Source organism: Homo sapiens, chromosome 8 (assembly GCF_000001405.40).
Source record: "Homo sapiens chromosome 8, GRCh38.p14 Primary Assembly".
NCBI lineage: Eukaryota > Metazoa > Chordata > Mammalia > Primates > Hominidae > Homo > Homo sapiens.
Window position 1 is genome coordinate 76042342 of NC_000008.11, and position 13292 is coordinate 76055633.

General features: G+C 35.1%; 1 long non-coding RNA gene across 1 annotated transcript in view, besides 1 other annotated feature; it reads right to left on the reverse strand.

Moving 5' to 3' along the window:
• Positions 1-1900: 1900 nt before the first annotated feature.
• The window catches only part of LOC105375906 (uncharacterized), a 31793-nt gene continuing 20401 nt past the window's right edge, over positions 1901-13292 (reverse strand). Inside the window, exons 4-5 of the long non-coding RNA XR_929059.3 lie at positions 5690-5867; positions 1901-2652 (exon numbers count right to left, since the gene is read on the reverse strand). This is a non-coding gene — a long non-coding RNA (uncharacterized LOC105375906). The remainder of the gene's footprint in view (positions 2653-5689; positions 5868-13292) is intronic.
• Positions 5441-7138: an enhancer, noted in NCBI's record as "VISTA enhancer hs891". NCBI's record gives its function as "enhancer in: neural tube[6/8]" and the evidence as "EXISTENCE:transgenic organism evidence [ECO:0001131][PMID:17130149]".

Genomic DNA, 13292 nt, shown 5'->3' on the forward strand with positions numbered 1-13292 from the left:
TCAGCAGTTGCTTGGTGTGCCTGTTTCAGAAGAAACATGATTTCAAAATATATTTAGGAGTTCTAAGAGTGAGTTCACAGTTATTAGTGAGCTGGCAAAATAATTTTTGAAGTTTGTAGCAATAATAAAGGTAATCTGATTGACAATTTCATTTAAATGCTTGCTTAAATTTAGAATTTCATGTTTAGCAATGCATTAATATATTGTACATATTAAGTTATGATAACATTTAAAGAGGATTTATTAATGCAAACATAGGTTTTCTGGTACTTTTATCCTGCCTAGTAAAAAAAAAACAATTAGTGTCTGTCACACCAAACTACAGATACTTGTTTTAAAATGTAATTCATTATCCACTTATTTCCTTTAGCCTTCAAGTAAATCACTTTCTTTCACTTCTTGTGTTATCATTTTCTAATTATGTTGTCTCTATTAACCCAGGAGTTCATTATCCTAGAAAACTTGGTGTGATCTTATATTCTGCTTCCTCATTCAGTTGACAAAGTCTGTAGATTCCACCTCTTTTCTGACCTCAGGAATTCCTTGAGTTTTGTGTCTCCTTCTTCTCCTCTTTCCTCTCCCATTGCCCTAGTCTAGTCCATGGTGCAGTGAGCTCCAAAGCATCCTTCTCTACATTAGTCTCTAGTCTGTTCTCTGCTCTGTCACTAGTTGACCTCCCCATCTTCCATAAACTTGATTTTTTAAAACTCGTGTTGCTTTCTCATTGACTAAAGAATAAAACCTGAATTATCTCAGAAAAGCAAAAATAAGCCTTTAAGCCTTTCCAGTCTGGCTCTCCCTCCTTTTCCAGACTCACCCCTTACCACTTCTCCTCAGATATCCTCTAACCTTCTTTGACCAAAAAGGTAGATTTGGGAAGAGTGCTCATGGGTCCATGTGGAAAGATGAGGGTGCCTGTTTAGTCAGCCAGAAACTGCAAAACTCTCTGGCCATGAAGTTGATGTCGGGTATGTAGCCACAGCACCTTCTCTTCCACAGTTAATCTACATTCCCAATGTTTTAGACTTCTCACAATTTTTCAAACTATTTGAAATCTTTTGAACTCAAGGACTACCACACTGAACAAGTCAAATAAATTTAGTTGGATATCAGGCATTATTTTTGAACTGAGATATTTTCATCTTATTTGTTACTTAATTGACTTCTGTTTCTTAATGTGAATTGTTTATATGAACATGCATAAGAATAGTAGGAGTAAAGGGCTAGTGATGTCTATGAAGCAGATACTTTATAACCTGATTCAATCACCAGAATAATTCTACAAGGCAAATATCATTATCTCCATTTTAGACAATGAGAAACCAAGGTTAAGAAAATTTACATCATTTACTCAAAGACACAAATTTAGTAAGTGACCAAACCTGGATTGGAGCCCAGATCTGTCAGTCTACCAAATCTGTGTGCTTTTTAGGTCAGAAACTTGCCTCCAGGTTTCTAACTGAATGTCTGTAGCATTTTAATTTGTGCAACCATGTAATATTTAAACTAATGGATGTGATGAAAAAAGGAACATAGACAATAGTCTAGCCTTTTGACAACAATTAAAGCATACACAAAGCAATTCAAAATCCTTCCTACCCAATAACTAAGCTTTCAAGATTAGTGTATGTGGCTCACCATTTACTAGTATTTGAAAACATTTTTGATAATATAAATTGGTTTTAATTATCTCTTTTTGTCCAAAATTAAAGATTATATACTGCTGACTATGGAAATTGAGGCTGGCCTTTCTATTTTCTCAGCTGACTCAAATGAAACCAGATAATTCCATCTGTTTAATTCCCTTTGACCCAATTCGCAGTCACCCCAAATGGATTCCAGAAATACCAGCTCTGCAGCTTGCAGAATTTTCTTAAAGCAAGCCTAATGGATCAAAGTGTGTCATTCTATCTAGCATCAATTTATTCATCATACAATAAATTCACATTTTGTATAAGCTAACACAGTGCTTAAGATAAAGCCAAAGAGCCTTGAACTCAAAGACTTACACACATACACACACACACACCACATACACACATACATATATGATGCACATAAAAATATAGATATATATGCAACCATATATACACATATAAGCACATATGTATATGTAAATATATGTATATACTAGTTTCTTTAGTAACATAAAGTATCAAATTATAGCTGTAGGATTATTATAGATTAATCTATTTATGAAAATTGAGAAAAGGGAAAGGCAAGTGTGGTCCATACTATTAGCAGTTCAATTAACAGTTACCATTGTTTGGGTGCATGCTAAGTTCTTTACGTGAATTATCTCATTTAATCCTTCTACTAGTCATCTATTGCATATAACAAATTTTACCCAAAATTAGCAGCTTAAAACAGCAAACACTTATCATTTTACAGTTTCTGTGCATCAGGAATCTAGGTATGGCTTAGCTGGGTGTCATTGGCTCCATTTGTCCCATAAGGCTGTGGTCAAATTGTGAGTTGGTCCATGCAGCTATCCTGTCAAGGCTCAAGCAGGGCTGAAGAGCACACTTCCAAGCTTATTTGGTTGTTGCCAGGCCTCAGGGGATCTTCTTCCAAGTTCACTCATGTGAGCCTCTTCACAGCACTCATGATGTGGAAGCTGATTTTCTCCAGAGTGAATAATCCAAGGGAGTACTAAAGAGAACACCCAAAATGGAAGCCACAGTCATTTGTATCTTAATCTCAGAGTGGCATCCATTCAGTTCTGCCATACTCTATTCATTAGAAGGAAGTCTAAAAGTTCAGGCCATTATGAAGAGGATAACATTACACAAGGGTGTGAATATCAGAAAGCCTAGAATTACTGGAATCCGTCTTAGAGGCTGTCTACCGTAATATGAAAAAATTAATAGTCTTATGAGGTTAGCACTTTTATAGGTAGATAAGAAAATGGAGGTACACGTTGGTTAAATAACTTTCCCAATGTTATATGGCTGATAAATGAGCAGGCTAGGATTCTAACTCAGAAAACAGAGTCTAGAAAGAAATTAAAACTCAAACAGAGAAGTGAATTCTAGGAAAGTAATGGAGTATAAGTACAACCCAGAGACACAAGTGTGGAATTATATATGATATGAATAATGTAGAGCCAATGATGAAGAAGCTGGTAGGAGATCTAGCTGGAAAAAAAATGGGCTAATGTTAGTGAGTTTTTACTAAAACTGAATTTGGAAATGGATAAGTGAGAAGTCTGCAATTGTTTACAACAGGAAAATAATGTGGTCAAAGTCTGACTTTATGAAGATTTGTCTAGAAGTGTGCAAGACAGCCTGGAGTGGCATCATACAAAAGATATGGAGACCTGTTTCAACGTGTGCATATACTGCCATGAGAATCTGGCCAAAGTGAGAGTCAGTGGAAAGAACAGGCAATATCTACAAGAAAGAATCCCCAAGTATTGTTCATCAGCTGGATAAGAAATTTAAAACTGTCAGAAATTACTCCAAGGTTTGGAGAAAAGGATATTGTAACAGAGGAAGTGCGATTACAATTTCAACAGGCAGGGTTTTTGCCTGATTTGTTTACTGTTGCTTTTCAGAGCCCAGAATATGTCATCATAAGTCCTCATTGAATGAATAAATAACCGAAGCTGTCACTTATTAGATTAACACCCCAATTAACTCACACAACCACAAACAAATGTAAGAAAGATTAATATTGTAATGTTTCGTGCCATTAAAATTTAGTTGGGTTTCATGGGAACTGGAGAACATCACGAACCAGGGCACTGCTCACTTGGGTGTGCTTGTACACTAAATTTTCTATCTCTCTCTCTCTCCCCGCAAGGTGTCTTAACCTGTTTTTATAGGCACGTCTACTCCAGTCTCTGCTGTGTATTGGCAGGCTTTCCAAATGTTTTCCCACAATTTCAGCTTGCCATTAGCTTTCATTTGCATGGATAAAAACCCTAAGTTAGACTTTATAGGTTACAAGTTTTACTACAAAATACTAGTAAACTCTTCTTGTGTTCAAATAAGAGAGAGAAGAAAGTAACAGTTTCTGTCTGGCTCAAGCTTGGGTCAGATGTCTCCCCTATCTAATTAGCATTGACATTGTTAGGTAGGTAGAAGGTTATGAAGTCTATTTCTCTCAAAGCAGGTAGAGAAATATTATTTGGGAAGATAGCATAAGTAAGGTGACAATTTTATGGTCATGTGTAGTACAGGATACATTATTTCTAATTGTTGACAATAGATAGCCCTTGATGAGTTCAAAATATCAGATGAGCGAACTCAGGCTCAGATGGGTAATTTACCTAATGTTACACAGCTCATAAGTGGTTGCAGACAAGATCCCAGATCCTCTACTTTCTGCCTCTAAAACTACTGTCTTGCCCTTTTCACTTCTTACAGCACGATACCACTAAGAAAAATAAGGAAGTTAAAATTGGTCTGGCTGTTTGTTTAACTGGGAGTCAGGCAGGCCAGGCTGTAATAGGCCAGGTGCTAGTAATTGTGGACAACTAATATCCCTGACTTTTATCGCCACTCTGACCCTGTATCAACCTCACCCCATGCCTTACATAGAATGAGGCTCCAAGACTGGAGAGGTCTGTCTTAACACTTTTCTTGCGATTAAACACTCTGGAAGTTAAACGGTTTATTTTGAGCTTTTATCAACAGAGCTGGTTTTCAAAATGACATTTGCCGTTTGTGGAGGCCACAGTTATCAAACTTTGATAGCAGAACTTTGGCAATGAAAAATTGGAAGAAATTGTAGTTATATAACATTAGTGACAAATATAGGTTGGAGTGGTTAGTTAATTGGTTACTTGCTTTGCTGTAGGGGTAGGTAACCTGTTCCTGTTACAAAAAAAAAAAAAAAATTAAAAACAGTCAGTAGAAAGAAGGCAATTATAAACAGGAGAGATAAAATTAACACAGTGAGGCAAATGAAAAGGTGGGAATCTGAATAAAATAATTGCTGAGAAAGCAGGTAAAGACCTGCATCTCTTCCTATGTGACAAGAGGAAAAGATGTGGCTGAATAAGAAAAATCTCTCTCAATACTGCATTCTGAATAAATAAAGAAATGATGTATTTTGCTGTGAATAAGGAATAAAAATAAATTTGTACTTGAGGAATGCAGAGGTTAGAAATAGAATTTATCCGTAAGATTCTCTCAGCTATGTTTAAATGAAATTGCATTGACATGGATACTCAAACAATATTAATTTATACATTTGTAAAATTATTGAAGAGTACTTAAGAGCAGGAAGTAATGTTCAATTGTCTTTATATGATTCACAGATTCTGCCACAGTACTATACTCATAGTAGATGCTTAATAAAAGTTTGCTGAGTGAATAAACCAACTACTGAAAGAAGGAACAATACTTGCATTCTCTATTTAATTTAACAGGTTTCATAGTTGTATTTGGAAAATATAAATATTATGTACTTAATTGAGGAATTTTTTAATAGTGTAAAAAATCTGCTTAGGCATTTGTAAGTCAAGTATTTATGACAGCAATTCCATACAATCAGAAATGTTTATACTTTGTGATATATTACAAGGATAGGAAGAATGATTTTGCCAGGAAATGTTATTGTTGAGAAAAATTCTCAAATTTATTTTCATAAAAAGGGAGAAAATTATTGATAAACCCATCTAAATTTGCAGATTGGTGATTTTTCAGAGGTTATTTGGGGTCATAATTGTAAATCTCATTACCGTGCTTGAAGGAGGTCTCTTTCATTATTAGGGTGTGCAGGTCCGTATCCCTGAAGCTAATTGCAAGGTAGAGCTGCAGAGTTCTAATTGTTTGCCATCAAAATAGCTGTGTAAGCTTGATTAACAGTGTTCAGCAACATTCATAATAGCCCAAGCCTGGCCCTGCATAAAATAGAAACTGGGAAAAAATCAATAAGATTTAATAAGATCAGGAACAATCACTTACAATAGTACATCAATCACACAAAGTAATAGGTGCAGGATTTGATAGGGTCCTGAACTGCCTGAGAGATTCATAACCAGTACTCATTAATGATTTGTTCATTTGCATTTTATCAATCCAACTACAGCTGACAAGCAGAAGGAGTGGGAAAGAAATATGTTGACTTAAACTCATCAGCTTTGCAATTAAAAAAAATAACATATAATAGCAAATGTCTTGTCACATGAAAATCTGATGTTATTACAAAGGTGTGTGCAATCATTGGCTCTTCAGAATGAGCTGCTGTTAGACTTGCAGAATAGCTAGCATAACAGTGTCCCTGTGGTCACCAGGAAGTCTCAAAAGGTTAGAGAAAATGTACATGTGAATATAAATTTCCTCTCCATCTCTCATAAAGCTCAATTGCATAATAATATTTAATGCAAAATGTGCATATTTCCTTGTTTTTATCTCTTTGAAATAAATGAAGCTCCTGGCTTTGCCTTAGGCAAAACTTCTATCATATGCTAAAACAATCATAATGAGATGGCTTTCTGGTGATTATTGATTATCATTATATTCTCTTTTGGTTGATGCTATGACTTTACAAAGTAATCATGTGGTATTTACTATCTTTATTAAAACACATTTTGGGAAGAAAGATAAATAGATACAATAAAATTGTGTAAACAAATTTCTAATTCTAAATACATGGTAGTTAGTAATATGAAAAAAAAATCCTCCTATAAACATCAGAAGCATAATGAAAAGTCTGAGCTGTTTCTAAGAAATTCATGTGGATTCCTGCTTAGAAAATTTCATATGGGCTTTCTGTGGAGGGAATTATGTGAATGGTGGGATGCAGAGCACATTGTCAGAAACCAGCAGTGGGACCATCCAAAATGTGGATTAATTAGTCTCTGTCTATAACTTCAGTAAATAATGTGCTCCTTCAGAGAAAAACATTATGATTCAGGTCTTTGTAGAGGATGTTTAAATAGCTGATTTCTATATAGGATGTTTTAATTCAATCAAAGTACAGGTAAAATCCCATTATGATAGACTCCATGGGGCCTCTAAATTGTTTTGTTGTGGTAGAATTTGGTTAAAATGAATAAATACATTTATCACATTCTCAGTGTGTAGTACATACTAGAGAGACAGACTTGATGCCCAGTCTCTTTTCTATTGAATTAACACATGAAAAGAAATGCTTTGAATAGGCAGCAGGAACCAGGATCAAAATATAATGCTCCCACACCTTTCAAGCTTTTCCTAAATTCTGGATCACTTTCAAAATGGTTTTGGTATTAAGATAAAGTTTTTATTTTTTCCTTTGTTAAAAATAGCATTGATTAGGCAGACCAGACTTTCGGAATCTAACAGAGTGAAGAAAATAAAAAGTAGTTATTATTTGTTCTCTTGACAAAAGTAACTGTAAATAACTCAATTATGTGCAGCTTAATTTGCTTTTCCTACACAGCAAACTACACAGAATCAAGTGCTTCAATTATATAGGTTGACTCTTCTCAGGCCATTAAACAAGGAGAGCATTAGTAAATTTACTAAGAATCAATTTATCGAATACCAATTTGCCTAAAAGCAAATTGATAAATGTCCAATTTACTGAAAGATCAATTCACAATAATTTTTGACATTCAATGATTTTTATGCATGTGAATTTGTTAGTTTCAAGTATAATTATCAATTATATGGAAATTATTGCTACTAGTTTTGCTGGAGTATGGAAATGATTTTGTTATTCTGAACATTCTTACCTTTCATTTACTGAAGAAACATTTTTAGCACTGGCAGTGTAACAGGCTTAGGAGGCATAGATAGTAATAAAAGATGTATTCAAAAAGTTTACATTGTAGAAGAAACAGGAAGAAACCACACTTATCTTTTAAATATTCTAATAAAAACATAATAATGTGCTCTCAGGAGTCAGGAGAAGGTTTGATGAATTGTGGGTAGGTAGACTGTCCACTTAATTTATCATCTCCAAACTACACACTCTTGAGAGTGGAAAGTGGGCTGTTAATAGTTACGTTGAAACAATAGGAGTAAACAAGGACAAGCAAACCAGAATATATGTTCACTTTAGATATAGGAGAAGAGGATAACGTATGGGTTGTTGAGGGATCTGTTGATATTTGAGTTGAGATATTAGAAATAAAAAGAATTTCCCAACTTCAGGTAAATAAAATCCATTTCATGGACAAATATACATGAGTGATAGTACAGAGTCAGAAAATTGTCTTGTGTGTCTGTTGAATAGTGAAAGACATTGAAAAATGAAGCTATGGCTTATAGAAGATTTTGAATATACATATCATTGTGTAGAATAGAAGTATTTAGGAGGAAATAGCAAAAGAGCAAAAAAGTATATGACATTATTTAAATAGTTAACGTGTTGTTCCCTAGAAACAAAGAGGCTTAGATTGGCATCCCAGCTCCTGTACATTACCAACTGCTTGACATTGTTAAGTTGTTTCATCTCATAGCTTCATTTTCCTCATTATATATAATTCATATAAATCACCTATTATGGTGTTTGACACATAAGTGCTCACTGCTCGTTAGTTGTTATTTTTAATTTAAAAAAACTGTGTTGTAATATAACTGAAATTACTTCAAATCCTAGTGTTTGATTACAATAAAATGACAATTTATCTGAAACTTAAAATTTTTATTTTAATGTGAGTATATACATAAACAACTCTTCAGTTTATCATATATTATTCAAATGATGTACTTTGAATAAGACCTCTACTTTAAAAAAAACAAAAAAGAAACACTCTAGTAGGAACTTTGAGAATGGATCATGGAGGAGAGATCAAAGGCAAGAAAATTATTTAAAAATCTTGTGGCAGACATTTATTTTGGTGGCCCCCAATCAACTAAGCTCCCTGAAATGTATGCCTTTGTGTGTTCTCCCTCATCAATTCTGAGATTGATCATGTGACTAGATATAATTAGCTTTGACCAATGGGACATGAGAAAGCGTAATGAAAATGAAACCTCAATAAGCATTTGCACAGTAAGGCTTGTCTTGTTGGAGTACTCTTTTTTGAAGCCCAGTTAAGAAGCCTTGTGAAAGACATAAAAAGGCCATATGAAGAGAGAAACAGAGATTCCCAGACTGACTTCAGTTGCTCTATACAACCCAGGTAAGACACCAGATATATAAGAAGGCCTCATGTACCATTCAACCCTCACAGATACCATGTAAAACACAGACAAGCTTTCCCAATCAAGCCCAGAATCATGAACAAATAAATATTTATTATTTTAAGCTATTAGTTTTTAAGGTGGTTTTTATACAGCAACAGAAATTGGAACCAAGAAGTTGAGTTCTATCAAAACAAAATAGTAAAATACATGGCATTTGATTTTTGTACCAGGTAACAGGTGAAGGGCCGAAGGAGCATAGATAAAATTACTATTGTTTAGCAGTAATAAGGCTGGAGTAAAAAGTACCCAAACTATGTAGTATAGAATAATTAGTGACATTGTCACCTGCAGAAACATGAAAGTATTAATAGGTCTGGCTAAGATTTATAGAAAGAATATTGAAGGTGTCTACTAGATGCTTTTAATCTTCCTATCATAAAATATAGAAGGGCGAGGAGCTAAAGAAATAATAGTTTAGAGTTAAAGCGAAATTTAAAGGAACTACAGAGAAGATATGACTTGCTGTGTTAAAAAGCATTTTTTTCTTATGCCCAGAGTTTCCTGGAAAATTGCTCACAAAGTTAGAAGTTAACTCAGGTAATGATCAAGTTCTGGGTGCTGCCAGTAACACATGACCTCATAGTAAACATCAAGCCTAGGGGATACTGAAGGGCACTTTTTGAGGTTCCGGAAAGGCTTAAAGATGTGTCTCAGAGGAAGATAAAGAAGCTTCTAAAAATCTTAAAGATCTCAGTCACAGTACCCTCAATCACCAAGTTTTAAGAGAATTGCACTGATGAAACAACTGCCAGTTTGGACTAAAAGTTCTGAGACAGTTAAAAAAGAAAATCCTCTCCTGTGAGAAGGAAAAATATTAAGAAAGCTACTCAATCTAAAATATGCTCCATTTCTTATTGAAGAAAAAAAAAAGAAAGAAACTCATAGGGTAAATCCAAGGGCTAAAAAGACTGAATCAAAGTTCTGAAGGGAGCAAAACTGAGCCCAAAGCAGAGAGCTGGCAATATGTGCCTACCAAAATTTCAGAATTGCTAAGGACCAGTGGCTGCTATTTGACTCCCACTCTCTCCATTTTTGAGTGGTAGTATCTACTGTGGCTTTCCTATCCCTAAATTACCAATGTATTTTAGGCATATTGAATAATACAATTTATCTCTGGTTTACAATTTTTTAGATTGAAAGGAACCACACCAAAGGATTCTCTGCTACACCTGGACCCAATTTAGATGACAAAATCATTTTCTTTGAGCAAAATCCTGGTGCCAAAATTAGATGAGATTTTGCATATTTTGGTAGGAGGGGAGGAGATTATGCTTTGTATGTGGGAAGAAAATAAATCCCTAGGGGCAATAGAACACATTGTGGTATACTTTTACTTTTGTGTGCCCTCCTCTATAACAAACAACGCCTCCTGTTAGTCATGAACCTATACATCCCTCTCCTCTATTGATTCTGAGCTTGACCACATGACCAAAGAGACAATAGAAAGTGTGATGTAAATGATACCTTGATAAGTGCTTCCCATTGAACCTTGTTTTCTTGAAATGCTCCTTCTTGGTACCCAAACACCAAGCTGCATGGAAGTCTATGCTAATTCTAGTGATGTAGGGAGACCACATGTAGAAAAAAATACGCCCATCTGGGTTCTAGCTGTTTCAGCAATTCAAGCTGAAGTGTCAAGCAAGTAGAAAGGGCATTATGTACATTCTTGCCCCAACAATACCAGCTGGAGCAGAGATAAGCCCTCTCCACCACACCCTTCCTTAATCGTTTCATTTGGCAAATACCTAATCATTGTTTTAAGACATTAGAATTTGAGTTGATACATTATATAGAAAACATATAACAGTAACAAAACCATTTCAATTTTTAAGTTAGATATGGTGAAAGAGTTACATTATGAAAAAAGTAATCTGATATGTTGGATTACTACTTGTGGGAATGCCAAAGAAGAAGGTAGCAATGAGGACCACAAGCTGCTTGATTTAGAATGAGGGAATTGCTATGGTTTTAACTGAGAAAGGAACACAAAGGAAAAAAATGGATTTTAAAAGTTGAGGTGGGGGATAATTTGGTCTTACAAATAAATATTAAATGGCTTTTTAATCATTTCAGGTGCTTTAAAATAAGTCTTGACTCTCATAACCATGTCACAACTTGGCATGTGAAAGCCACCTATGAAAAACATTTATTTAGTTACTTTAAATTTTATATATTTTCTGCTTGTGTCCAGTGGGTTTTGTCCAAGGCGCTGCATGGTAGGCAGGATAGTGCCTCCTAACAATGATGTCCATGCCCTGATTTTTAGAACCCATAACAATGTCACATTATATGGCAAAAAGATTTTGCAGATATAATTAAGTTTATGAACCTTAAAATAGGGAGATTATCCTGGATGATTTGCATGGGCTCAACCTAATCATATAAATCCTTAAAAGCCAAGGACTTTTCTTCAGCTGAAGTCAGAGAGATGTGGAGGAAGAGAAAGAAAAATACATGCAGTGGAAGTGGGAGTAAGAGAGATTCCAAGTATCAAAAACATTAGATGCACTTTTTCTGGTTCTGAGATGTAGACAGAATACGTAAGGACTGGAAAAAGGCTTCTGAGAAGGTAAGGAAAACCCTTTCCTGAAAGCCATTGAGAAAACATAGACCTCAGTTCTACAAATGCAAGAAACTGAAGTCTAACAACAACCTGCCTAAGCTGGGAAGAAGATTCTTCTTTACAAGCTCTAGAAATAAAAGGCACACCTTGTTTTTCATCTTGTGAGACCCAGAATAGAGAAACTAGCTGAACCACCATGTGCCCAGTCCTCTAATCCATTCAAATAGTGAATTAATAATGGGGCTTGTGTTAAACCGCTACATTTTGTGGGAATTTTTAATAGCAGCAATAGAAACCCCATATGCTCTGTTCTGCAGGTTCTGTTATTTGCTTCTGGCTTATTTTGCACACCATTTATACATCACTTCAGAACTTGTTGGCCTTATCTGTCTTTCATTTCGTCCACTAATGTAGTGACCAGTTCTGCAAAGGCCCTGATAAACAGAATTATCTTGACATTCTGCAGAGGTAATGCTGTCATACTGGTTCACAATATTGATACTGTTATTTCAATTGGACCAGGTAAGCAAGGATTGGGAAGTATGCTTGATGCCTTATCAAACCATATTCATATGAGAGAATAGAAGATTAAGCCTCAAAAAAAGACAAGTGAATATTTTAGGCATTTAAGGGTATGAGGCATCATATGACATCCCTTTTCTCTTTTTAAACAATTTCTTGTATAACTCACAGGCAAAGAATTTGGTGGAATTATCTGCATTTAGAAGGCCATTCATACCTCACTTAGAGCTACTGATCCAACCTATTTCTTTGCTGACTATTTCAAATAGGGCCCAAGATAAAATGTAGTCTTCCCTGCATATGGGCTATGCAATCAAGCCAACCCAGTAGTGTTTCTACAAACTCTGTTGTATAGTGATGTTCTGTGGCAAGCCCCATAGTAGAGCCAAAGTATGAACTGAGTTACAGAGTAAGGATATGACCTTCTAAAATAAAGACAAAATATCTCCAATAACTCTAGACACTTTATCTTTCTCACTAATCCTTCCACATTATCTCTTTGCAGAGATTGCTTTTGGCCAATATCTGAACTGACCCTGCAATAGTTTGGCCTTGTACTTCCCCCTCACTCATAAAAATTGAGATTCCATAGAATAGAATAGTAGCCAGATATAATGAATGGCATGAGAAATCTGAATGGTCCTAGGGGTGTATTTCATTGACCACTTCTTTTAACCACTTCTGATACTCTAGACCTCATCTGTCTCATTCCAGACACTCTATGGAAACTAGTTCAGCACAGCTTTATGTAACATTCTAGATTATACCACTTCACCTCTATTCCATGCTACACACATTTAACTTTCTTTCCGAATAATTACTTGTTTAAGGTGTGGAATGAGAATAAACCCAGTCGGCTCCCATGTATATGCAACCTGGAACTATGAGACAATTATTGTCTATTAGGTAACTTAGTAAATTTTACATCGCTATAAAGGAATACCTGAGTATTCCTGGGTGATTTATAAAGAAAAGAGGTTTATTTGGCTCACAGTTCTTTAGACTTTACAAGAACATATTAATTCTCCAGTAACTGACCCCACAGTAAAGGAAATTTATAAATTGCTTGAAAAGTAATT